This window comes from Homo sapiens, chromosome 17, assembly GCF_000001405.40.
Source record: "Homo sapiens chromosome 17, GRCh38.p14 Primary Assembly".
In the NCBI taxonomy this organism is placed as follows: Eukaryota; Metazoa; Chordata; class Mammalia; order Primates; family Hominidae; genus Homo; species Homo sapiens.
In genome coordinates, this window is record NC_000017.11 from 80622162 (window position 1) to 80649719 (window position 27558).

The window sequence follows — 27558 nt, forward strand, 5'->3', positions numbered from 1 at the left end:
AAAGCCAGCCTCTTCCTTTAGGAAGCAACTTGGAACTTGCGCCAGGGTTTGAATCAATCCCTCTCCATATTACAGGGCATGAAAGGAACACCCTTGATTTAAAAGTGTTGTGAGGCAGGTGTTAACAGCTGTTCACCATGGCCACAGGAAGACCACAGAAACGTTTCCAGGAAATGTCTAGTTTTAAGCAGTTTATCCTCAAAGGCTGAGTTTGCTATACAATAATTGGGATTTGGGATTATGGATACTGATCACTTAAATATTGGAGGATGACTAATTAAATACAGTGACTTTTGTTGTTCTGATTTTTAGTGCTTTCTCCTGATAATAGATGAAGGGGCCATTTGTCTCTTACGCTTCATAATGGAGGCTTCTGTTACATGTCTGTGGGAAGACATTCTTCTCCTAGTATATCCACGGAGGCAGAGATGCAGTTCCTTTAGAAAGTGATATTATTGGCTGGGTGCAGTGGCGCATGCCTGTAATCCCAGCACTTTGGGAGGCCCTGGGCTGGTGGATCGCTTGAACTCAGGAGTTGGAGACCATCCTGGGCAACATGACAAACCTCATCTCTACCAAAAATACAAATAAAATTAGCTGGGTGTGGTGGCACACCCTGTGGTCCCAGCTACTCTGGAGGCTGAGGTGGGAGGATCGCTTGAGCCCAGGAGGTGGAGGTTGCAGTGAGCCAAGATTATGTCGCTGCACTCCGGCATGGGTGACAGAGTGAGACCCCACCTCAAAAATGAAACAAAACAAAAAAAGAAAGTGATATAATTAATAAATTTTTTTAACTGTTAAGAGAGGAGGCACTAAAATGCTTCCTTTTTCCTATACAACTTTAAATTCTGTTTTGAATAGAGAATCTTATCTCGATGTGATAAAGATTGTACTTAAAATCAGTCGCCAGCATCATTCTGAACAATGAAACATTTATGTCTCATGAAAATCAACTGCAAAGATCTCCACTGTCATCATTTTGTTATTATTAGTGTTATTTTAGAAGTTCTGGTCAATACGCTAAGATCTAAAACCGAAACAGGAGGAATGATCTATTGGAAAGAATGAGACAGACTTATTATTCTTAGATAATATAGCTGTATACTTTCAAAACCTGAAAAGAATCACCAAAAAGCAATTACATTTAACTAAGAATTTAGTAAAGGAACTAACCATTTTTCTTATATATCAGCAATTATCAATAAGAAACTGTTATGGGGAAATACATATATTTCCCTGAAACACTCATGAAATATCTGGAAATCTTAAAATTAAAAATTAAAAATACTTTTATTGGTGATAATTTTTTACATTCATATAATCAAATCAGAGTAATTGAGATACCTATCACCTTAAATATTTATCGTTTTCTTTTTTCTTTTTATTTTTTTTGAGATGGAGTCTTGCTCTATTGCCCAGGTTGGAGTGCAGTGGTACCGTCTCGGCTCACTGCAAACTCTGCCTCCCAGGTTCAAGTGATTCTCCTGTCTCAGCCTCCGGAGTAGCTAGGATTACAGGTGCACACCACCACGCCTGGCTAATTTTTATATTTTTAGTAGAGACGAGGTTTCACCATGTTGGCCAGGCTGATCTTGAACTCCTGATGTCAGGTGATCTGCCCGCCTTGGCCTCCCAAAGTGCTGGGATTACAGGGGTGAGCCACCGTGCCCAGCCTATCTTTTCTTTATGCTAGGAACATTCGAATTATTTTCTTTAGGTATTTAAAAAATGATTTATTCATTTATTTATTTTTAGAGATGGGGTCTTGCTGTGTTGCCTAGGCCGGAGTGCAGTGGCTGTTGGCAGGCACAGTCATTTCACACTGTACCCTCAAACTCCTGGGCTCAAGTGGTGCTCCTGCCTCAGCCTCCTGAGTAGCTGGGACCGCAGGTGTGCACCACCACACACTTCTAGCTGCTTGAAATGTACTCTCAATTAAATTAATGTTAACCGTACTGTCAATTAAATTAATGTTAACTGTCATCGCTCCACTGATTTATGGAACACCAGGTCTTAGGAATAATCCTAATAAGAAAGGCACAGGACTTACTCGTGAAGAAAACTATAAAAATGTTACTGAGAACAGTTAAAGGTACATTTGAATAAATGGAGAACCATATTATGTTCTGTATAGAAAAATAGAATATTATGAGGATGTTACTTCTTAACGTTAAGTTAAAATTAAACTTCATTGCAATTTTAGTTCAGTGCAATTTTAATAAAAATCCCAATGGGATTAAAAGATTGAAGAACTGATTAATTTGAAAAAGATAAGTGAATATAAATAGCTAAGTAAAATTAAAATTTGAGGGTGAAAAATGACCCTTCCAAGTATTATGAAATATAAAGATAAATTAGTTAAATTAATGTAGTACTAGTAGAAGTATTGGTTGATAGGTTAATGGGATGAATTTGATTACCCAGAAATAGAATTTTGTCTCTGTGAGAATTAATACATATATCTGTGCACACCTGTGAGTTTGGGGCAGATTATTTAACAGGGATTGACACAACTGGCTAGTTTTATGAGAAAAAATTAATCTTTATCTTGTATCATATACCAGAATAACATCCAGACGGCTTAAAGGGTCAATGTAAAACAGAAACACTGTACCAAAATACATGTCTTCCCTCACTCAGCAGGTAGTTAGCACCTGGTCCAGGCCAGGGTTTTGTTCAAATGAGTGGACTTGAGTCTCTAGCCCACTGAGGAGCATCCATGGGCCGGAGCTCTGCCGGGAGGAAAGGACAGGTGTGATCGCAGCGTTCCCCAGCTGGCTCCACCCCGATGGGGAGTGTGGAAGGTGTGTTGAGGGGTATCCAGAGAAGGCCTCCCCAAGAAATTGATCTTTAAACTGAGATCTGAAGAGAGAGTCAGAGCCGGCCAGGTGACCCGGGGGAGGGGAACTCCCAGCAGAGGGAACTGTGGATTTGAGGGCCGAGAGGTGAGTGTGGCCAGGCCGCAGTGTAAGTACGAGGAATGAGTAGTGAGTAGATGGTCCACGGAGAGTGAACAACGCAGGCAGTGAAGGCACTCTAGGAGAACCAGGCAGCATCACTGATGTGAACGAATGTAAACTAAATCAATACGACAGCTTTTCTCATTAAATGATTGATGGTTTTAAATAACAAGAATTTTACATCTGGTTTAATATCTGGTGGGAGTGTAAATTTGTGTAATTTTTTTTGCAAAGGAATTTGGCAGAATGTATTGAGTGCGTTAAAATGTTTATATCTTTTGATCAAATAATTCCATTTCTGGAGATTTATCATAAGGAAGCCTGAGAATAGCCCTTCCTGCCACGTCCCTCTCACCACCTGTCCCCTTTGCTGTGAAACCCTGCCTTCAAAGAAGGGCGTTACTCCTGCACTAGGGCTGGGGTAGCCAGGTGACAGGCGGAGGACTGGCTGGAGGGCAGGTGGGTAGGGAAGGGGCTCAATGTTCTGGGGGACATTTTAAAAGCTGGAAAAACACATAAACGAGTTCCATATTGAAATATTTATTTATTTTTTTCTGTTGTGTTTTCAGATGAAGACAGTCAGTGTTGCCTTAGTTTTGTGCCTGAATGTTGGTGTGGACCCTCCCGATGTGGTGAAGACCACGCCCTGTGCACGCTTGGAATGCTGGATCGGTGAGTATGCCTCCCTCACGCGCTGCCACAAAGGCCGTCTGGCCGGCTCTGGCCTGGGCGGGGCTCGCCAAGCCTGTGGTCTGGTCCAGGGGCCCGTCTCCAGCTGTGCAAATCTGAGGGGTTTTTCTTTCTGGAGTCACATCACCTTTGAGTAATTTCCGATGCGCTCACCTGTGATTGGTAGTGGAGAGAGTGTTTCCAGAAAAATCAATACAGTGATGATTATTGGCTTATATAATTTTCTACTTTATTTTTTTATTTATTATTATTATTTTTTTGAGACAGAGTCTTCCTCTGTCACCAGGCTGGAGTGCAGTGGCATGATCTTGGCTCACAGTAACCTCTGCCTCCTGGGTTCAAGCCATTCTCATGGCTCAGCCTCCTTAGTAGCTGGGACTACAGGCACCCGCCAACACACCCAGCTAATTGTTGTATTTTTAGTAGAGATGGGGTTTCACCATGTTCGCCAGGATGGTCTCGATCTCCTGACCTCGTGATCCGCCCACCTCAGCCTCCCAAAGTACTGGGATTACAGGCCAATTTTCTACTTTATTACACGCCCGGCCAATTTTCTACTTTATATTTGTTCTGTCTGGCACACATAGTATCTATGTACACTTAAAAAAAAAATGGAATGACTGATACCTGCATGGAAATGTAGAAGAGGTAAATGGAACCACTTCCAGCAAAGCATCACATAATGGATCATGGCCCATAATAATAATGGCCATCATTTGCTGAATGCTTGTAGTGTGTCAGACGCCACTGGAAGCACTTTACAATGCTCACAACAACCTTGTGTGGTAGGGTTTTTGCTAATCTCCATTTGAGAGCTGAGGAACATGAGACATAGAGATTAGTAATTTGCTCACGGTTGTCCTGTAGAGCTGGAATTTGAACCTATGCAGTTCAAGTCCAGAGACTGTTTTTTTTTTTTTTTTAATTGTGGTAAAACATAGACAACACAAAATACCATTCTAGGAATTATTATTATTATTATTATTATTATTATTATTATTTTTCATTCTAGGAATTATTAAGTGTACAATTGAACGACATGAAATAATTCATAATGTTGTGCAAGCATCCTCACTGTCCATCTCTAGAACCTTTTCACCATCCCAAACAGAAACTCTGTCTCCATTACACAACTCCTCATTCCTGCCTTCCCCTAGCCCCTAGTAACCGCCATTCCACCATCTGTCTCTATGAATTTGTCATTCTAGGGACCTCATATCAGTAGACTGATATTTGTCCCTTTGTTTCTGCCTTCTTTCACTTAGCATAATGCCCCCAAAGTTCATCCATGTCGTAGCATGTGTCAGAATTTCATTCTCCTGCCGCAGCCTCGCAATAACTGGACTTATAGGCACCTGCCACCACGCCCAGGCAATTTTTGTATTTTTAGTAGAGATGGGGTTTCACCATTTTGGCCAGGCTGGTCTCAAACTCCTGACCTTAGGTGATCCACCCGCCTTGGCCTCCCAAAGTGCTGGGATTACAGGCGTGAGACACCATGCCCGGCCAAGATACAATTTATATACAGTAAAGTTCACATTTTTTAGCTGTACATTTCTTTAAGTTTTGACAAATATGTACAGCCATGTAACAAATGCCATAATCAATGTATAGAATATTTCTGTCACACCAAGGAAGTTCCCTTGGGTCCCTTTGTAATCGATCCCCTCTCATTTCTCTGGCCTCTGGAAACCATTGATCTGATTTTTTCCTTTTACAGAATGTCATTTAAGTGGCGACATATAGTTTGTAGTTTTTGTATCTTGCTTCTTTCCTTTAGCAGAATTTATTTGTGATTCATCTGTGTAGCTACGTGCATTAGTAGTTTTTTTCCTTTATTCCATTTTTATGGCTCCCTCACAATTTGTTTATCCATTTACTAGTTGACAGACATTTGGGTTGTTTCTAGTTTTTGGCAATTATGAATAAAATTGCTATAAGCACTTGATCTTTGTGTGGACATATTTTCTCTGGTTAATATTTAGGACTGTGATTATTAGCTCATATGTTAAGCGTATGTTTAAATTTTTTTTTTTTTTTTTTGAGATGGAGTTTTGCTCTTGTTGCCCAGGCTGGGAGTGCAATGGCACGATCTTGGCTCACCACAACCTCTGCCTCCCGGGTTCAAGCGATTCTCCTGCCTCAGCCTCCCGAGTAGCTGGGATTACAAGCATGCGCCTCCACGCCTGGCTAATTTTGTATTTTTAATAGAGACAGGATTTCTCCATGTTGGTCAGGCTAGTCTCGAACTCCCGACCTCAGGTGATCCACCCACCTCAGCCTCCCAAAGTGCTGGGATTACAGGCATGAGCCACCGTGCCTGGCCAAGTGTATGTTTAATTCTTTAAGGAACTGCTGAACTGTCGGTTTTTTAAAGATCTTTAAAAATAATGAATGTCTTTTATATTTACCTTCATATTTATTGTTTTGAGGACCATTCATTTCTTTCCGCAGTTCCAAGTTTCTATCTGGTATCATAATCATTCTGCCTGAAGAACTTACTCTAACATATCTTGCAGTGCTGGTCTGTAGGCATTAAATTTTCCTAGATTTCTGTTTGGAAAATTCTTCATTTTGTCTTTGTGGTTGAAAGGTATTTTTTCGGGGTATGTAATTTTCTGTTGACTCTTTTAGCACTGTCTTTTAAAACAGTCACCTGTTGTGTTCTGGCTAGCAGTTTCTGAGAAGTCTGCTGTAATTCTTTGTTTCTCTGTATATTTTGCTTCATTTTTCTCTGGCAATCTTCAAGATGTTCCCTTTATATTCTCAGTAGCTTTATCTATAACCTATTAGTTTTTTGTTTGTTTGTTTTGGAATTTATTCTCCCCACCCTTTTTTTTTTCTTTTAGAGATGGGTGTCTCTCAATGTTGCCCAGGCTGGGCTATACTTGAACATCTGGGCTCTAGTGGTCCTCTTGCCTCAGCCTCCTGAGTAGCTGGGACTATGGATGCCCAGTACTGCACCTGTGAAATTTATTCTTTTTGGGTTTCTGTGAGCTTCTTGGATGTGTAGTTTGATGTCTTCATTTTTGAAAAGTTCCCATTATCTTTTCAAATATTTATTGTTTGTTTTCTCTCTCTTCTGGGACTCAGCTCTCTATGTATTGTGCTGTTAGACATTGTACCGCAGCTCTTCCATGTGTCTCTCTCTTCTGGGACTCAGCTGTCTATGTATTCTGCTGTTGGACATTGTACCGCAGCTCTTCTGTGTGTCTCTCTCTTCTGGGACTCAGCTCTCTATGTATTGTGCTGTTGGACATTGTACCGCAGCTCTTTTGTGTGTCTCTATCTTCTGGGACTCAGCTCTCTATGTATTGTGCTGTTGGACATTGTACCGCAGCTCTTCCGTGTGTCTCTGTCTTCTGGGACTCAGCTGTCTATGTATTGCGCTGTCGGACATAGTACCACAGCTCTTCCATGTGTCTCTGTCTTCTGGGACTCAGCTCTCTATGTATTGTGCTGTTGGACATTGTACCGCGGCTCTTCCGTGTGTCTCTCTCTCCTGGGACTCAGCTCTCTATGTATTGTGTCGTTGGACATTGTACTGCAGCTCTTCCGTGTGTTTCTCTCTTCTGGGACTCAGCTCTCTATGTATTGCACTGTTGGACATTGTACCGCAGCTCTTCTGTGTGTCTCTCTCTTCTGGGACTCAGCTCTCTATGTATTGCGCTGTTGGACATTGTACCACAACTCTTCTGTGTGTCTCTCTCTTCTGGGACTCAGCTCTCTATGTATTGTGTTGTTGGACATTGTACTGCAGCTCTTCCATGTGTTTCTCTCTTCTGGGACTCAGCTCTCTATGTATTGCGTTGTTGGACATTGTACCGCAGCTCTTCCGTGTGTCTCTCTCTCCTGGGACTCAGCTCTCTATGTATTGTGTTGTTGGACATTGTACCGCAGCTCTTCCATGTGTCTCTCTCTTCTGGGACTCAGCTGTCTATGTATTGTGTTGTTGGACATTGTACCGCAGCTCTTCCATTGTGTCTCTCTCTTCTGGGACTCAGCTCTCTATGTTTTGTGCTGTTGGACATTGTACCACAGCTCTTCCGTGTGTCTGTCTCTTCTGGGACTCAGCTCTCTATGTATTGCGCTGTTGGACATTGTACTGCAGCTCCTCCGTTTGTTCTCTCCCATGTCACAATGAGCTTTTGTTAGTCTGCTGATAAACCAGCCAAGGAAATTCTTTTTCTCTGATATTGGGTTTTTTATTTCTAGCATTTCCATTGACTATTTTAGTTTCCATCTCTAGGGGAAATGCATATTGCCTGCCTTTCCTTCTAGAGCCTCTGCTGTGTTCATCATAGTTACCTTAGAGTCCTTGATCTATAGTTCAGAAAACAGGGTCAGCCCTGAGTCTGAGTCTCCTAATTCCTTTATCATCTCTTGACTGTAATTTGCTTTTCCTTGCTTTTTTTGTGCTTTATAAATTTTAATTGCATGCTGGACATTGTGTGTAGAAGAACAATAGCGAATGAGGTAAGTTGCATAGTCTATAGTTTAGTAAGTAGTTAACTGGGGTTAGAATTTGTTGTTGTAATGGTTATACCCACTGCAACAGCACTCTTAGTTCTTAGAGTGATTAGTTGGTGCTTGTGTCAGTCAAGGTTCTCCAGAGAAACAGGGGCAGTAGATGTGTGCCTGCATGTGTGTATAAGTATGTATGTATGTATGCATGCATGTCTTGTGATCTTGAGGCAGAAATTTCTTCTTTCTCAGGAAAACCTCAGTTTGGCTGTTAAGGCCTTCAACTCATTGGATGAGGCCCCCATATTACCAAAGAAAATCTCCTTTACTTTAAGTTAGCTGATTGTGGATGTCACCACATGTATAGAGTACTTTCACTGTGGCACCTGGGTTTGTGTTTGATTGAATTGCTGAGTGCTACGGCCTGGCCCAGTGGACACATAAAGCTGACCAGCACAGTCCTCGTGCATTAGGGTGGGTACAGGCAGGCCAGGGGGTTTTCCCAGGGCTCCTGCTCCACCCCTAGCCTGAGCTGTGCCTGCCCACGTGCCTCACTGAGTGGTCCCTGGCTTTGCCTGTCTCCTGGCACAGGATTTCCATTGCTAGTTACTCAGCGCCAGGCTGTGGAGTGGTGGGAGTTCTCTGTGGTCCTGGTCTCTCTTTAGTCTTAGGCAGGCCCTGGGCATCTGGGCCTTGGGCGTAGTGCGGTTGCAGTGTTTTCACCTGTCCCCCAGTGATGGCAAACGTCTGCCTCGATTCAGTGTAGAATTCTGTGCCCAGGGCGTGTTCTGCTCCTATCCCAGGAGTAGGCTGTTTTGCACCTTCCCTCACCCCATCCTCCATGCTCTTCACCTGTGTCTTGGGACAGTGTGTTCTATGCCCATGGTGAGCAAGGTAGGTTTTGTCTGTACCTCCTCCCACTCCCCAGGTACAGGAATGTGTGCCTGTTCTTGTGGACTGAGGGTCTCCTGCTTTGCTTCCTAGGGGAGGAGGTCTCTGGGGGCAGGTGGACTTCAAGCCTCTCCACACTCTGTGCTGCCTCCAGCAGATGCTTCTCATGAAGTGGGGGTGCAGTGGGGGTGCATGCAGGAGAGTGTGAGTGCCCCTTGTGCCTGGACCCCCTGTGTTTCCACACGGATATGCAAGCGCACACTGGGGCCTCGAGGACACATTACCATCTTAGCTGGTTTCTTGTGCAGACCTGCGCTCTTCAAAGATGGGCTGTGCATGTGCCCGGGCTTTCTCGGAGAGGACGGGCCTGTGGGATTCGGTTTGTCTGCCCTGCGGTCTCAGCTCCCTTATGAGCTCAAGAAAAGTGATGATGTCAGTGATTATTCAGCTTTCTCATGTTGATAGGATTGGAGCCACTCTTTCCCCCCAGCTTTCTACATCCTAAGCAAAAGCAGAAGTTCCCTTTATTGCTTTAACAAAAACTACAAATTATTCTCAGCCTGGGCAGCATAGTAAGAGACCATGTCTCTACAACAAATCAGAAAATTAGGAGGGCAGGGTGGCTGATTTTGAGATGACAGGCATGCCTGTAGTCCCAGCTACTCTGGAGGCTGCAGCAGGAGGATTGCTTGAGCTTGGGAGGTCGAGGCTGCAATGAGCTATGATTGTGCCAGTGCATTCCAGCCTGGGCAACAGAGTGAGACCCTGTCTCAAAAAACCCCAAATTCTTCTCATCTAAATCTCATCTAATCTGAATTGGAAATAAATGTTGTTTTTCCTGCATTATTTGGCTGTCACACTATGTGAGGGTGTTTTAGGATGACAGTTCCCTCACCCCTTCCAGGCTGCTTGTCCCCCACACCCCATGATGGAGCAGCTGTGTTTTGTGGCTGATTTCTTCAGATGCTCTCTTGGCTCACTGCTGGCTCCCGGTGACTGTGCTGGTTGAAATTGACTTCTTATTAGCCACCATGGACTCTTTCCACTTCATCCGTCCCTCGTCACAGCTGAATGTAATCAGTTATTTTCTCTTCCTCTACAGCAATGCTTATGTTAGGCTTTTCGAACAAGCCTTCCTCATGCGGATCCCTGTGTGTGCTCCGGGGACGGGACGCGCAGGCCCTTCGGGGTTGTGTAGGTGTCATCTGAGGATCCAGTTGCTCTTCCCTGCCTGAGGAGCCTGAGCTTTTATCAGAGCTCACCGCCCTCTCCCACACAGTCTCTTTGATCAGTATTTACACAATGTTAATGAGAATGGAAAAACTCCATGCTTCTTTCTTGGTGTGAAAGATCCAGCAAATGAGATTTCTAAAACTTGAGTTTTAAAAGTTTTCCTGCAGTTTAGGAATATCGTCTACTTTCTAATAATTTCAAGTGAATTTTGAGTTTAGGAGGGCATGTGCTTTTTCTAAGTTGGAAAAATTTTATTTGGCCTTTATTAAAAAATGGGTAGGTTCCTGGTCCTGGTGATGGTGGTTTTAACAATATGGCATAAGAGAATAAGAAGCCTAGTGATTTGAATCAGCACATTTGCAGGAGTGTGTAGCAGCCCACTTTTATTTTTTAGTTTATTTACTTGAAAATTTTTATTTTTGTGAGATAAGACCTTACTCTGTTGCCCAGGCTGGAGTGCAGTGGCGTGATCATAGCTCACTGCAGCCTCAAACTCCTGGGCTCAAGCCATCCTCCTCCCTCAGCTTCCTCAGTAGCTGGGACTGTAGATGTGCATCCCCCACGCTTTTAAAATTTTTTATGGAGACAGGGTCTCACTTTGTTGCTCAGGCTGGTCTCGAACTCCTGGGCTCAAGTGATCCTCCCACCTCGGCCTCTTAAAGTGTTGAAATGACCGGCATGAGCTACCACACTAGGCCCATTTTTCATTTTGAAAAAAAAGTTCCAAAAGTTGCAAGTATAGTACTAAGCTGTTTCCTTTCTGATTCTCTGAGAGAAGGCGGCTGACATGGTGCTTCAGCACCTCTGAATTCCTTAGTGTGTAATTCCTGCCAGCCGGGAGTTTCTCTTTCCAGATGACAACGCAGTCACCAAAATCAAGGAGCATTCGCGTGGACGTGTGACTGCCACGTAAGCGTCCGCTGCATGCAGGTTTGCCAGTGTCCCAGGAATGTCCTTTGTAGCGCCAGGATCCTGCTCAGCCATGCGCCATCCTAACTTCCTCTCACTCAGTCTGAAGCAGTTCCACAGGCATTCCGTGACCCTCCTCACCCTGGCGCTTGAAGGTGGCAGTCTCTTTGTTTTGTAGAATGTCTCCGGTGTCTCCTAATGATTCCGTTTAGGTCATGCTTCGCTGGCAGGAGCATCACGCAGAGCTGCCTGCTTCACGCGGGCTGCACCAGGTGATGCGGGGCTGTGATCTATCCATTACTGGTCATGCAGATCTTCTCACCTGATTCAGCTGGCGCCTGCTGGACCTCATGTGAAATTCCCCTTTGTAGTTGATAGGTATTTTCGGGAAGAAGTGCTTTGAGATTGTGCAAATATTCCTTTCCTCGTGACTTTCAATTTCTTCATTTTGAACTCATGGCCTCCATTTTCATTCAGTGGATTTAGAATCCAGTGTTATCCTTTGGTGCCGAGCTTGTCTCCCTCTGGTTGTTGGGAACCCATTGGGCCGGCTTCTTTGGCTTCTGTCTTGTTTGCATCATTCGTGGAGCATGTGCTTACTTTGTCTCATCTAGTCTTTTTCCCAGCCTCATTCCTCTTAGTGGAATGTGGTGTTAGAAACTGAGATCTGGGTGCCAGGTGTTCTCTTTGAACTGGCGTGCTATTGCTCCCAGGACCTCTCTCGCTGGACAGAGCAAGGAAATGCATGTGTGTGCATACTATGTATGTGTGCATACTGTGTGTGTGCATATTGTGTGCGTGTGTGCATACTGTGTGTGTGTGTGCATACTGTGTGCGTGTGCGTACTGTGTGTGTGTGCATACTGTGTGTGTGCGCATACTGTGTGTGCATACTGTGTGTGCATACTGTGTGCGTGTGTGTACTGTGTGTGCGTGCATACTGTATGCGTGCATACCGTGTGTGTGCGTACTGTGTGTGTGCGTACTGTGTGTGTGCGTACTGTGCGTGTGCGTACTATGTGCGTGTGCGTACTGTGTGCATGTGCGTACTGTGTGTGCATACTGTGTGTGTGCATACTGTGTGCGTGTGCATACCGTGTGTGTGTGCATACCGTGTGTGTGTGCATACTGTGTGCATACTTTGTGTGTGCATAGTGTGTGCGTGTGCATACTGTGTGTGCATACTGTGTGTGTGCATACTGTGTGTGTGTGCGTACTGTGTGCATGTGCGTACTGTGTGTGTGCATACTGTGTGTGTGCATACTGTGTGTGTGTGCGTACTGTGTGTGTGCGTACTGTGTGTGTACTGTGTGCGTGTGCGTACTGTGTGTGTGCATACTGTATGTGCGTACTGTGTGTGTGCGTACTGTGTGTGCGTACTGTGTGCGTGTGCGTACTGTGTGTGTGCGTACTGTGTGTGTGCGTACTGTGTGTGTGCATACTGTGTGTGTGCGTACTGTGCGTGTGTGTACTGTGTGCATGTGCATACTGTGTGTGCATACTGTGTGTGTGCATACTGTGTGTGTGTGCATACCGTGTGTGTGCATACCGTGTGTGTGTGCATACTGTGTGCATACTTTGTGTGTGCATAGTGTGTGCGTGTGCATACTGTGTGTGCATACCGCGTGTGCATACTATGTGCGTGTGCTTCTCTCTGTACACATTTGTCTCAGCGTTTCTGTACCTCTCTACATGTACATTCATGCCTCCTATTCCACCTCATGGGGGTTTTCCATATTTGTAGCTCCATCTTCTGACAGTGACAACCTTGGTATCCTTTGTCCTTATTGTATTGGCTAATGTGGTGCCTCCTCCTGTGTGAACCCTCTTCTCCTCTCTGCCATTGCTGCTCCTCTCAGACCCGGTTATCCTTTGCCATTTCACCCCAATATCTGCCTTTCTCACTGCCCTGGTCCAACACCCATATGGTCACCTTTCTGCAGCCACACCTCTCCTTCTTCCTCTGCACGGGCTCAGGGCCCAGTCAGACTTGAGAGCTCATTCCAGGCCAGTGTGGCTCCCATCATCCTGAGACAGATGCCAGCTTTGCCCAGACCCACCTTGTGGCTTTAGGATTGTTGAAGAAGGGATTTTAGCATTTTCAACAAGTGCTTTAGGTTTCAGGCCTGGTCAGCCGAGGGAAGGATGATACACCAGTAACCAAGACTGGGACGGGAGCTGGGCTGGCTGGCAGATGGTGGGGTACCATTTCGCACATGGTGAGGTGCTTGTAGGAACCTCCAAGCGGAGCCACCATCCAGTGGAAAGTGGATCTGGTGGGAGAAGAGGGCTCATTGTAGACTAGAGGACCCAGGGGAGGTCAGCGCCTAGTACGAACTAGACCAGAGGGTATCGGGCAGAGGCAGGGCCCTGAGGGTGCAGAGAGGGGTGCCAAAGAGGAGGACCAGGGTGGTTCTGGATGAGTGCGTGGAGGAGCTTCTGGTCAGCATTGTCAAGGCTGAGGTGGTGTCCAGGCTGATTGTAGCAACCTGAAGAGTGAAGGCAGATGAGGTGGTGAAGCTTGTGGGGCAGCTTGGCCAGGAAGGTGAGGAGTGGGGTACTAGTGTTGGGGCTGGGCTCAGTGATGGGTTTGCTCTGCCTTCCTCAAGATGAGAATGACGGGGGCCATGGAGGAAGCCAAAACAGGGATTGGTGCAATCAAATTACTTACAAACATGTTACCGTTTAGAAGGCAGACCTCAGGATTTTATATTTGGTCTTAGCATTTTGAGGTCTATTACTAGAAATCGAGATTTTTGTGTTAATCAAGACTCCAGCTTTATTCCTTCCAGCTGTGCTACACATTTAACTGTTTTGGGCCTCAGTTTCCTCATCTGTAAAGTGGAGCTAGTGATGCCGTGTACCTCATGGCAGGGTGGGGGAATTAACTGGGAGCAGAGACCTGGTTTGGTGCAGAGACTGGTCCTCACCTCCGCCGCCCCAACTCTAGTCCCTACTTCTACCCCAACATCACAACACCTCAAACACCCCGACCCCTACGTCACAGCGCCTCAAGCATCCCGACCCCTGCAACACTGTCTTAGTCTGTTGTTGCTGCTGTAACAGAATACCCGAGACTGGGTAATTTACAAACAACAGAAATGTATTTCACGCAGTTCTGGAGGCTGAGGAGTCTAAGATAAAGGCACTGGCAGGTCTGTTGTCTCTTGAGGGCCCTGTCCATCTTCCAAGATGGGGCTGTAACACTGTGTCCTGTCACGGTGAAAGGGACAGAAAAGCAGAAGTGTGCGTCTAGTTCCCTCCAGCCCTTTTATGAAACACGATCGCCTCCTGAAGGCCCCATCTCTTCATACTACCACATTGGGCTTCCGTTCCAACACGTACATTTTTGGGGACATATTCAGAACATAGCACTAGCCCCAGTATCCCCACTCCAGATCACCCACACCCCCGCAACACGCCCCAGTACCGCCACTCCAGATCACCCACACCCCTCCCCAACACGCCCCAGTGCTGCATGGGGAGCAGGGGCCAAGGTGCTGCATGAGCTGCTTCCTGAATCCGTGCCTCTTCCGCTGCTTTCTGTAGGGCTGACTACGAAAGAGGGCTGCAGTGAACACACCTCACTGAGCCCCACTGCCGGGCATGTAGCCTTGCAGGACGGCCGCTCACTCAGGGTTGAAGGTCTCCAGCAGATTCTGGGAGTAGATGCACGGTGCTGCTTATTTCGTTTTACAAATTAAACATCCAATATGCAGGTAGCAATGTGTGTGAATCCCCAGTGCTTTATGTAGAACCCTGAGTATGGGGTTCATTTTTGGGCAGGGTGGGGTGGAGCGGAAGGTGGTCTGTGCTGATGTCAGAGGGGTCTGAGAAGCTTGAAAAATAAGGGTAACTGTGTGTGCCTGAACCATGCAGGAAGACAGCACTCCTTCCAGAGATGAGGGAGAGCAGACGTCATGTCTGTGAGCAAACAAGGGGCCCATGCCCAGCGTGGCTCTGGGTGTCATGGCCTCCCTGCTAGGTCATCCGGATGAAGCCTGGGGCTGTGGAGTCAGCTCGTGAGAAATGGGATCCAGGTCCTGAGCGTGCTGGAACTGGCGAGACGGGGTCACAGCACACACCTGCGTTTCCAGCCCTGCCCCTGCTGACGGCCAAGACCTCTTTTCCCACCCCTGCTCCGCCCCCCTCTGGATAATAAGTTGCTGTTCTAGTTCATAGAAGTGACACTTGTCCCTTTTCAGAGAAGCAGGGGAGAGGCTGTTTTGTTTTATGGCCCGACATTAAATACTACAACAGTAATACTAAAAACAATCCTGCTGAAGAGCTGCGCGTGCCCCACTCTTGGGGAACTCTGCTGTGGCAGCAGAGTGCGGATGAGCTGCATGCTGAGCAGGGAGTGTCATTTAGCGGAAATGGTTTTGTGTGCCAGCTAATGGTAGCTGTGTATCAGAAGAGGTGAGAATGCAAAGGTTTGTCAGATGTGTGGAAATTCTGTCATCCCAAGGGAACGTTTGGGAGGTCTTAGCTTTGTTTTTCTCTTCTTAATGCAAACACGTGAGCATTAAGAGACCTTGGGTAGATGAGCTGAAAATAGTCGTGATCGCCCTTGGCGGCGGCTCGTGGGTTTACAGAGCACTTGCACAGACTTCGTCATTGATTCTTGCAACCATTTGGGATTCATAGACCAGTCAAGTTGGTTAACAGATATTGATTAGGTGGAAACGTATATGTTAAGCATAGTGCCATATACAAGGAACTGTAAGCTGTGCTCTTGCTTTCAAGGCACTGATAGTACACCTGGGGAGGTAAGACTAGGATCCATGCAGTAGAACAGAGACCAATACGAGGTCAAGCTTGAACGGCCTGGAAGGCCAGAGAATGCTGCGGTAGAGACGTCAGGGCAGGCAGTGGGAGGCAAGAGCAAAGAGCTGAAGGAAGAGCATGAGCCCACACTCTGAGGTCCGAGGGGCTGGGTTTTCGCACACCAGCTGGGCTCCCTTTGGGCCTGGGGGGTCAGTAGCACCCGTTAGCCACGGCCAGTCACAGCCGTATGCTCTGTGCACACAGCTCTGTGCCCACAGCTGAAACCTTGGCTCTTTGGGGCTTATGGTTTAAAATGCTGTTTTCTTTTCTTCCTTTCTTTTTTTTTTTTTTTTTTGAGACGGAGTCACATAGGCTGGAGTGCAGTGGTGTGATCATGGCTCACTGTAGCCTCTACCTCCTGGACTCAAGCGATCCTCCCACCTCAGCCTCCTGAGTAGCTGGAACCACAGGCATGCACCAACACGCTGATTAATTAAAAAAAAATTATTGTAGAGACGGGGTCTCATTTTGTTGCCCAGGTTTAACATACTGTTTTCTCTGCCAGTTCCATTGGTGTCTCAAGGTGGTATCTCTGCTTCCCCTCTGAAGGAATCTGAAAGAAGGGGGTTAACTGCTTGGAGCCCACCTCTCTCCTGTATCTACTTTCCAAAGTGAGGACAGTTTTTTAAAACAGGACATGTTCATCCCCTCATATCTGCTGAAAATCCGTCTAGCTCTTGGTTTTTGTATAATACAGCAATAGGCAACACAGGAACGTAATTTTGTAGCTATGTGAGGAGTGAGGCCTAGTGTTAGAACGGGGCCAGACTGTAAAAGATCTCGCTCCTGTACGGCTCCCGTCCTAGTCCCACAGACGCTGCAAGGGCCGCGGGTCCCGGCCGAAGCTTTCCTGTCCCAGATGCCTGCAGCTGTGTGGCTCCAAGCTTTGCGCCTGAGCTGAGGAAGATCACACGCCTCTCACTGTATACAGGACTAATTATTACAAAATAGACAGGGATGGCATTATGGTTAGGAAAATATAGACTCATTAAAAATCATTTCTAATTTCAAAGTAGCCCCTTTGCTATTATGTATTTTCTCAGTCAAAAATGAGTTGTTTAAGGCTACACAACTAATGAGTGGCAGAGTCCTTGAAAACCACACAGAGAAATTTGCACTTCATCTAGTAGGCAGCACTCAATATGTCAATTAAAAATGTTTATTAAGTGTCTGCTAAATACACGGTACAAAGAACTACAAAGATTGTCCGAGCAGTGAGTGCTGGATGGGGCTTTCAGTGTGAACTTTTCACTGAAGGATAGCACACAGAGGAAACTGCACCTAACCCGGGTGTATCCTAAACTGATCATACCCATGGACCCCAGATCAAGGAACAAGATGACCATTGGCCCAGAAGTCTTATCTTGTCCCCTTTGGGTCCCCTCCCCCAGCTGCACTGCTGGGTCTCCACTCTTGGCAGCTTTCCATCTAAATGGAGCACACAGCCCGCACTGTGGGCTTCTGAGGGGAGGGGTCAGCCTGCGCTCATCTTCAGGGTGGACTGAGAAGAGAAAGACTAGGTCATTGGTGGCCCTGTCTGTGCCTGGGGCACCACTCTTTGGGGCCATTGGGCCAGATTGAGGAACCCAGCTGGGAGGTGGGAGAGTCTCAGTAGCATCGTGAAGGGCTGCGGATTGGGTGAACATGTTAGCAGTGGCTGGTGGAGTGCCAGCTCTTTGGAAGGTGAAATGGATAGGATGGGTAATCAAACTGGGTACATAGGAAGAAGATGGAGAGGTTTAAAAAGAAAAAGCTGCACCCCTTCAGGTTGGCTGAATGCCAGCACTATCAATAACCTTGGAGCAAGTCATTTGACTGCTTTAAACTTCAGCTTGCCCTTCTGTCCCATGAGGTGGGTTGGACCAAGTTCCTTTCAGTGTAAAGTTCTAAGTATCTTGAAATTCAGAGGGGTTATGCTGAAAATCTTGCAAATAGGAAAATTTATAAAGAACTAAAAGTTTTATGCAAATACCATTTACCATCTCCTTTTCCATCCACCTACCCATCCATTTCATTCATCAATTTACCCACACACTCACTCGCCGCTGAAGTTTCATTAGTTCTTTCCCAGATTCCCCTTAAATAGGAGCTCATAAAGGAATTAGAAGAGAAATGTTTTATAAGACACAACTACAGTTTTACATTTATGATCTGTCCACTTCACCCCACATCAGACTGATACTGTTGTCAATAATATCTATCGGGGAATTTAATTTTAGTTTATTTAAATTATACTTAATCAAATGCTAAATGCATCGTTTCATTTGACCTCATTCTTTCCCGTCTCTTCCTCTGCTTCTCATTTCAGCTCTCCCACCCACTGCCCTATTCTTGGAAGGGAACCATACAATTAACTGACCACAGGGATTCCCAGTGGATAGGCGGTTATAGTGCCATGTAGCTGGTCACGGCCTGGTGAGCAGCTGACAGTGGTTTCACCCCTCCTGGGTGGGCAGGTATCCTGACCTGAGTCAGGGCAGGGAGAGTGGGGCCCCTGCCAGGCTGTCTCTACTAACGAGGGCCGCCATGTCTCTGCAGGATGTTGTGAGGGATGCAGGGAAGTGGCTGCCTCCTGCCAACACTGGGGAGAGGGTGGGATGGGAGAAGGGCCTGGACTTTCCAAGGGGTGAAATCCAAGGAGGGGGTACTCCTTGAATGGGAACTCCCTCCCTTCTTCCTCTGTCCGTGGTTCACTGGAGAGCATGCATAGTGTGAGCCACCGCTGACCGTCGTGATGCATGGACAGTTTTCTGACCATAGATGACAGCCGCGGGCCGCGACCATGCTGGTTGCTGCAGTTAAGTATGGGTGACTGAACTCAACGCCTTCCAGCCAGCCCTGTGCGTTTACTTTGCTCCTCCTCATGCATGCGGCAAGGTCGCTCTTTGGCATCTGTTTGTTAAAGCTGTTTTTTGCTTTCCTTTGCCTTGTTTGTGTACTTCGTGGCCCCTATTTTTTGTTTTTCAGATCCCAATCCAATCCTATCTTGTGGGTCTGATCACAGCACAGTTGATTTGGGTCACTATGATTTTTTTGAGACCTTAGAACTTTGTTCCTGAGAGAAATGAAGACCAAACATGTAACGTCTGAAGTCACAGATTACGGATTATAACAAATTTACCACAATTCTTCCAGAGAAGTTAGATATTACCTGGTTTTTACCAAGCTTTTCTCAGCCAGAGGTGTCCATTGAATTAGAACCATTGAATTAGAATTTCCAGAAGGTTAGGGCCTGGCATCTCTGTTTTGAAAAGCCCTTGATGACTTTGACCTATCTATGGGCGAAGGCCCTTTCCAGTTGTAAAATCTTATTAACGTCATGATTTTTATTTTATTTTTTTATCAGAGTAACATACATATAGCTAAAAAAATAATAATTAAATAATGCCAAAAACTATACAGGTGGCTCTTGGAGATCCTGCGGGTGTGGCTCTAGACGACTGCAATAAGTGAGCTACATGAACGTTTTGGTGTCCAGTGCATATAAAAGTTACGTTTACACTGTACTGTAGTCTGTGAAGTGTGCAGTAGCATTGTGTCCAAAAGAACATACACACTTTATTTTAAAAACTGAAAAATGTTAATGATCACTGGAGCCTTAGCGAGTTGTAATCTTTTAGCATTTAATTGGCTGACGGAGGGTCCTGCCTCATGTGGATGGCCGCCAACTAATGGAGGAGGGGTGGTTGCTGAAGGTAGGGGTGACTATGGGAATTTCTTAAAATAAGACAATAACAAAATTTGCTGCATTGATTGGCTCTTGCTTTCACGCAGCATTTCTCTGTAGCATGTGGTGCTGTTTGATAGCATTTTACCCCCAACAGACAGACCTGGAGTAGTTGGCAGATGTTTTCTGGAAAATGAATGACATGAGCCTGTCACATTAAGGAAAACAACTGACAGTGTTTGTTTCCACTGATAAAATTTGAGATTTCAAATAAAAAAAATAAAATTTGGAAACCTTGTACCTACCACTATGAGCCTGGCAACTTCTTTTTTGTTGTTGTTGTTGTTGTCTTTGAGATGGAGTCTCACTCTGTCGCCCAGGCTGGAGTGCAGTGGCGTGATCTCGGCTCACTGCAACCTCTGCCTCCAGGGTTCAAGTGATTCTCCTGTCTCAGCCTCCTGAGTTGCTGGGATTACAGGCGCCCAGCTAATTTTTGTGTTTTCAGAAGAGACGGAGTTTCATGTTGCTCAGGCTGGTCTCAAACTCCTGACCCCAGGTGATCCACCCACCTTGGCCTCTCAAAGTGCTAGGATTACGGTGGTGAGCCACCACACCTGGCCGAGCCTGGCAACTTCTTAGTACTTAAGACATTTCTGATGAGCTCATGGTAATGTTAATGAGTGTGGATTCTTAAAAAAATATTGGGGAATGAAATATACAAGATCTGTATAGTTCAATGAGCTGATATTTTCCAGATGATCAATGCATGATGATACAAAATAATCTATGGGTAAAAAATCCACTCAAGGTGCAGCAAACAGCAGTGAATTTTAATGTCATAGCATACAAAAAGTTCGTTGATGTGGTTTCAGATACTACATCTCATATAATCTGAAGGAAATTACCACTTGATAATTTTTGGTGTAGTATCAAACAAAAAGAGTCATGATTATGTAAAATAGCATTTTAAGATACTCTTCTGTTTTCTAATGATAGATATATGTGTGAGGTAGGGGTTTCCACATATGCAGTCACTGAAACCATGAAATGCCACAGGCGAATGCAAAAATGGATGAGAGTCACCCATCCTTGATCAAACCACATATTCCAGAAATTCGCAAAAATATGCAAAAATGCTGCTCTTCTACTAAACTTTTTTGGAAAAAATAGTTATTTTTGTAATAAATATTTATGTTAAAATATAATGGGTTATTGTTTTTAAAATGAATGAAGAAAAATATTTAAAAAATCTTAGCTGAATTTCACATAGAGTAGATATTGATAGATTCAACAACATAAACCAAAGCTCTTTGAGGTTTTCAATAATTTTAGAGTGCAAAGGGGTCCTGAGACCAAACAAGTTTGAGAACTGCTGATTTAGAGTTAATTGCCCTGGAACCCACTCCTGAAATAAATGGGTAAATCCTGGACATGAATGTACATTTGTGAAACGGATTTTTTTTGTGGGAATACTGAGTGCAGATGAAAATTAATTAAAAAGTATCACTTCTTTGTCTTTTTCTCTCCTCCTTTTCCTGTACCCATGAGAGCCATAGTTTGAACAGGAGGAAGCATATGCTGTCACTGCAGAGCTGCCTTCTCAGAGAAAGCCTGAGCAGGAGCCTGAGAATAAAACAGTGCAAGTGCGGGAAAGCTGCAGGTGCCGAAATACAAATGAACGTGGGTAGAATAACAGCATTCACTTGCCCGTGATGTTAAAACACTGGCCTTCACGGCGTGTCAGCTTGTTTGAGCACCTTAGCTGTTCAGTAAATCTGGTTAACACTGATCAACCTTAGGCGTTGTGTTACTTTTAGTCAAAGGTGACTTTGAAGTGTGTTATATAAGGAGAAACTGTGGAAGAGAGGCCTAGCAGAGGAGGAAATGCAGACGTAAAGAACTTTCTCTTTTCCATTGCTTCCTCAGATCCTCTGTCGATGGGTCCTCAGAAAGCTCTGGAAACCATCGGTGCAAATTTACAGAAGCAGTACGAGAACTGGCAGCCAAGGGTAAGTGTGCTTCACTTGCTCTTCCCTTTCCTTCTTACAGGGAAACTCCAGTTCCTTGGTTTCCAACACTCTTTGGATCCAAGTGAGAATTCTGTGCACACCCTGCCCTTGTGTGGCATGGCGCCTGCGCACTGCGTTTCGTGTGCCTGCGTTCTGCCTGCTGGCTATTGGTGGCTGTGTTGTCTTGACAGCGTCCGCATTATTGTGAGTCTTGCATTGGACAGTCCAACTTATTTTGCTTAAGTTTGTTCCAGATTTTTAGAAAAGAAAAAGTATTCTTTTCGCTCTTAACCATGGTTTTAATTTTTCTCAGGAAATGTATTTTCGATAATTTTTCTGCAACCTCAACTAGTTAACGCTATTCCGCGTGTCTTCAGTTTTCACATAGTTGAGAAAAAAACACCCAACAGTCAAAAGATAACACTTATTATATGCTTTGCCTTTGATTCAAAAGATAAGGTTCTTTTTAGGGAGCCAGTTACCAATTAGTGTGTGGGTTTTTTTTTTTTTTTTTTTGGCTTATATCTTACAGTTTTTTGTTTGTTTGTTTAAAGAAAAGTGGCTTAGAATATAACTGTGTCAAATTGCCTTTAAGATCTTAAGTTACTTGTAATCCACCCAAAGACCTTTAGCCTTTCTTATTAACTGGTTTGGAGATTTAATAAATTTAATAAAAAACTAAGAATCTGGGCACTTATGGAAGTGCCCTATATTCAGCTTTGCATGATAGATGGACTCGAGTTACCTAAAGGAAATAATGAAGAATGCAGGTTGAGAAGGTGCGCGTCTCCTGCAAGTTTTACTCTCCCCTTTTGGATGAAAGCCTCATGAAAACACATGATTTATGGAACCTTTTGAACACTTATTTGGTTGGAATTTTGATTTGTGGATCATTTATCCACATGATGTGGGATTTAGAGATTCCTTATACATTATTTACATTCTTAGAGTAAGAGAACAGCCAAAAATGAATTTTTTCCTGCCTTTAAAAATGCCCTTAGGTCATTTCTGCTGTTGCTTCCAGTCATGAGCTAATTGTTAGGAAGCATCTCTGTGTCTTAGGGTGTACCTTTGTGCTTGCATTGCCAACTTGTCAAGTCAATAACAGCAGACTTTTGTTCTTTAGAAGGCAGTGGCTTCATGGGTTCTTGACTGATGCCTAATGGCTTGACTTTTTCCTCTCTTAAATTGGTTGCCTCTTGATGGTTTGTGTACACATGCTGTAGCCTTTTTCTTGAGGGCGCAGTGCGTTTGGGGATGGCATGAGGACTGGAGAGAGATTTGGATGGTGGAGTCCTGTAAAAATGTAGTTGAGATGCCTCGTGTTTTCCATAGATAATAGCTTCTTTGAAGACTTTGAAGGTACCCTAGGGTCTCAGCATGGTGAGACGGGCACTTGCAGGAGTGTGGGGCAGAGTGGCAGTATTAGAAGACATGGCCGTGTTGGCACATGGCATGTCGTTAACCAACACTATGGGAATTCAGAGGAATGCCTTTCTGGCTACTTCTGGCCATCTCCTGGGTTTGGCTTTGTACCTTTGCGTTTTACTAGATACCTTTGTTTAAAAAAGAATGTAACCCAATAAATTCAGATCTACCAATTGTGTTCTTTCTAGAATGAGTCTCTGCTATTAAAACTAGTTTCTTCTTTTCCAAGAATTATTAGATAAGGAAATATAGCCTTTCAGAATACATGTGTTTAATATTTCAAGATATTGTATGTGTATTCCATTTGCTCTGATTTACAATTGTTTTTTTTGAGTGCTAAGAGTTGATTTACTGCTGGCTTTATTATTAGTTTCGCTTGGTAGATATCAGCTAGTTGATGCTAGCTGACAGGAAATGGAATCTTCTAAAGTGGCATCTGTTATTTTTAATCTAAATTTCTGTCTACGAGCAGATCTCTCCATGGCATTGAGAAGCGGCATCATGATGTAGGGAAGGTGACCTTTACATGTAGGTCAGTGATGACAGCCAGAAAGATGACAGTGTAGACTCAGTACAGGATGGAGGATTCCCTGCCCATGACAGTGGCACAGTTGTATTCGGACAGCGAGCACAGGTGCAAAGGGGTGCAGTCCTCTGAATGATCTGTAGTCTGGGAAAATTTGTTAAAGTTGGCCAGATTTCAAGAATGGATGTGCAAAATAATTCTCTGAGTAAGAGATCGTTTGAAGGGCTGGTGAGATGGAGAATGTGTTAAGATTACAGGATGCTTCGGAAAAGGTACCAGCGCAGGCGGGATCCCATCTGGGCTGGTTTATAAAGTGGAATCTGGAATAAAGTATCCGCTGCAGCCTAGAAGGAAGCTGTTCTTGCACACAGAGTGGGATCTTTTGTCCCCATTCAGGAAGCAAAACCACAACAATGGACACCTAATATTTGCTTTTCGAATGCCAACACCATTGCATTCATTTTTTAGTACAATAAAAATGTTTAAAAATTTCCTGCTACTATCCATGAGCGGGCCTCATCTATTTTAGAAATTAGCCTAAGGTAACGGATGTCACAGGATACCTCTGACCGGCTCCCAGGTGTGAGCGTGGGGCTGTGCCATATGCACTGGGTAATAATAGCACTTGCCCCGGTGCGCGTGGCACACTGCTCCTCACAGCTTTCCGTGGGTTACAGGACAGAGGGAGGGAGGCCTGGCATAGATAGCGTGGCTCTCAGTGTGGGGCAGACCTCATGCTGCCTTCTAGAGTTTGCATGAAACAGGAGGCACTTAGCAAACTCAGATGTTTGTGTGCAAGGGGCCTGGTTCCTGACTGTAAATCAGGGTCCTTTGAAACATTGCAAGGCTAAACACGCACCACTTGATTGCACTCTACAGGGCTCTTGAGTTTCTGCAGTAATAAAGAGAGGTTGATGTGCCATCTGCAATAAAACAATGGGGGCGTTATTAAATTTCCCAGACCTTCAGTGGAAAGACCCATATATCTGGTTTTCTCTTTCTCTGTGTCTTTATTGCAAGAGTGGAAAACCTTGGGTCATTTAATGAAAATGAGATTATTTTCATTAAAGTTTGTCGGAGTCGTTGCCTCCACGCTGGCATGGATGGGAGCAGAGTAGGAAATGCCTGTTTTCTCAACGGTAGCGTCCATCCAGGAGGTGCAGAAAGCCAACCCCGGAACCCCCGTCGGCTGCACCAGAATGGTGTCTGGAAGCCTCTGATGATTTCCTTGCTGGTGCTGGAACGCTTGGACTTGTTCTTCATTTTTCTAGCTTTTGATATAGGTGATTCCAGTTCAAAAGGAATTGAGAGAAACCATGGTGATTATATTTTTTTCTGAAGGCTGCCAGCCACTATCTGGCCCGTATTTCCTTGCTTAGGCCCATTGAGCCCTTTTCTAAATAATTTATCAGTTTGCCACTGATGAAATGTTTCTTCTGATTAAATTTAAGGCTTTGCCTTATTACCTTGTAGGTGTATAAATTTGTGTTCTGCCAGAGATTGGAGGAAAATGCCGACCGTTGTTTCAGTGGAAAATTCTGCAGTAAAACCTCACTCATTCCATCATAAGTCTCAAATGAAAGTTTTATTGGGAAATGGGAGTAGGAGATTATTATAAAGCTGGGACCATACAGTGAAGAATTTATCTTTTTAGAGAATTTTTCTAACAAATTGGGGCTACTGGCAGTTTAGTACAGGATGGAAGTTAGGAGCTGGAGCCTGTGGAAAAAGACAAGCAGGAGGGGCCTCGCTCTCTGTGTCCTTCTTTCCCCAGAGAGAGTGGACAACACCAGAAGCAGAGGCCACACCTCTTTACTTGGGGTGAGCTTTAATTCTTCTGGTGCCTTAAAAATAAGTTTCTATGGGAATATCTATCATTTACTAAGGAAGATGAAACAGCATGGCGGTGCCTCCACTGACCAAGTCTGTCCGTCGGGCAGGTGTGTCTAGGGGAGGAGGCGGAAGGCGCTCCTCAGTCATGGAGCCACGTTGTTGTAGGAGCTCATTCTCATCTTGTCCAGGTCTGCGAGTAGTGAAGGCAGCAAGTCCTGTGTGGCGGCCGTGGGGCTTCCAGGGAGCTGAGCGGTCAGGTTGAGTCAGTTTCCATGTGGTGGACAGTTCTTACTTATCCATGCACAGCCCTGGTTTGTGGATTACAGTGAACAGATTTTGAATGTCAGCTTCCCTTCAGTTCACCGTGCTTCTCAGATGTGTCACAGTTAATTTGTGGTTAAGGGATGAAAGTTGGTTTTGCCATTAGATAAACATGTTTTTTATAGTGCCTAACCCCAAGCAGAGTATGTTCAAGGAGAGAACAAAACAGCTCCCAAGATCTGGTCCATTAGCCCAGTAGAAATTGTTATTGCATTTTAATGTAAATGACAGTCATCCTTTCGTGGTATTGATAATAGAGTTGTTTGTGTGCTTTTATGAGATGCTTTGAATGAACCGAAGCTGATGACTATACCTCCTGTTGGGAGGAGGGGGTTTGGGGAGCAAGGGGGTTGAGAAGGCCAGTGGTGGGCAGTTTTGGTTCTACTTAACAGGTGTGTCTTTTGGATTTTAGGCACAAGTGTTATTTGCAGAACTGAATGTTTATGTGTAATTCCATGTTGTTTAGGGGTTTGGAGTGAGGATAATTGGAATCCAGGCATCTTCTCCTTGTCCCTGAATGGGGCTGCTGCTTGACCTGTCCACCTCACAGGGAGTGTCATGTGGCCATGTGTGACAAACTGTGAAACCCTTGGTATTGAGTGCTCACACTGCTAGGTGTGGTGGGAGGCGCCTAGTCAGGCAGCCGGGTTGGCTTTGGGGAGCACTGCATGGATGGCTTCTAAGATCCACTTGTCTTCTTTCCCCTGGGATGATTAGACAGGCCTCTGCTTTGTGGGCAAAGCAATTGGTATCAGCACAAGTCACTCGCTTCCTTGTGCCCCCCACCCCCAAATGTTTTGGAATGAATTTTATAGATGGATGCTGATATGGCTTGGCTGTGTCCCCACCCAGATCTCATCTTGAATTGTCACTCCCACAATTCCCACGTGCCATAGGGGGAACCCAGTGGGAGGTAATCGAATCATAGGGGCGGGTCTTTCCTGTGCTGTTGTCCGTAGTGAACAAGTCTCACGTCCCTGCACGAGCTCTCTCTTGCCTGCCACCATCCATGTAAGATGTGACTTGCGCCTCCTTACCTTCCGCCATGATTGTGAGACCTTCACAGCCATGTGGAACTATAAGTCTATTAAACCTCTTTCTTTTGTAAATTGCCCAGTCTTGGTTATGTCTTTATCAGCAGCATGAAAATGGGCTAATACAGATGCAGTCAAGACGCATAAATCAGTGGGTTCTACCTTTTCTTAGGATTTTCAGGCTCAGATATGGATAATCGGGGAAGAAGCAGCTAAGTTGCCCTAGGACAGTACTCCACACCTGGAGGTGCTCCAAAGCTATTCATGGAACAGCCCAAGGTGGACCGTTACTCGCTGTGACTCCTGCTTGGGGCATTCACGTTGCGACATTAGTTCCAAATTGACAGTCCAGTTCAGCTGGTGAAAATGGCCCTATAATTGCGATTGGCAGCATCCCTTGGCGTGCGGCCCTGATGCCATTACCATTCCATCATCCATCCCGTCTTGCTGTCTGCCCTGCCGCCAGCCCTCCCTCCTCCTGCCCAAACTCACCTGACTTTCTTCTCTGTGGGTCCTAAGGTTGGGCTTCATCCACCTTGAGTTTCTGTGACAAGCTGCCAGTGAGGACTCATGGGCAAAGGCAGAACTGTGGGTGGATGGCTCACAGCTTGCATAATTCAGTACCTGGTGTGAAGCACTTTGCCTGTGTACTCATTAAATTTGCAGGACGGTACAGACAATATCTTCTGGTGGTCTTGGGGTTAACTGTGGTGCTTTGACAGTTTCACTTAACTGCTTACTGCCCAGAAAGTTAAGAACTGTTCCTA

The 27558-nt window shown here is 45.1% G+C and overlaps 1 protein-coding gene across 2 annotated transcripts in view, besides 1 other annotated feature; it reads left to right on the forward strand.

Annotated features, from left to right (window-relative positions):
* RPTOR (regulatory associated protein of MTOR complex 1) overlaps positions 1–27558 on the forward strand; it is a 421531-nt gene that overhangs the window by 77324 nt on the left and 316649 nt on the right. For both annotated transcript variants that reach the window (NM_020761.3, NM_001163034.2), the window contains exons 2-3: positions 3530–3632; positions 21567–21649. In NM_020761.3, coding sequence (NP_065812.1) covers positions 3530–3632; positions 21567–21649 — 186 coding nt within the window. The remainder of the gene's footprint in view (positions 1–3529; positions 3633–21566; positions 21650–27558) is intronic.
* Positions 14928–15708: an enhancer, noted in NCBI's record as "H3K4me1 hESC enhancer chr17:78610889-78611669 (GRCh37/hg19 assembly coordinates)". NCBI's record gives its function as "activates a minimal SCP1, AML or CMV promoter by ChIP-STARR-seq in naive and primed H9 embryonic stem cells {active_cell/tissue: H9 hESC(naive and primed)}" and the evidence as "EXISTENCE:reporter gene assay evidence [ECO:0000049][PMID:30033119]".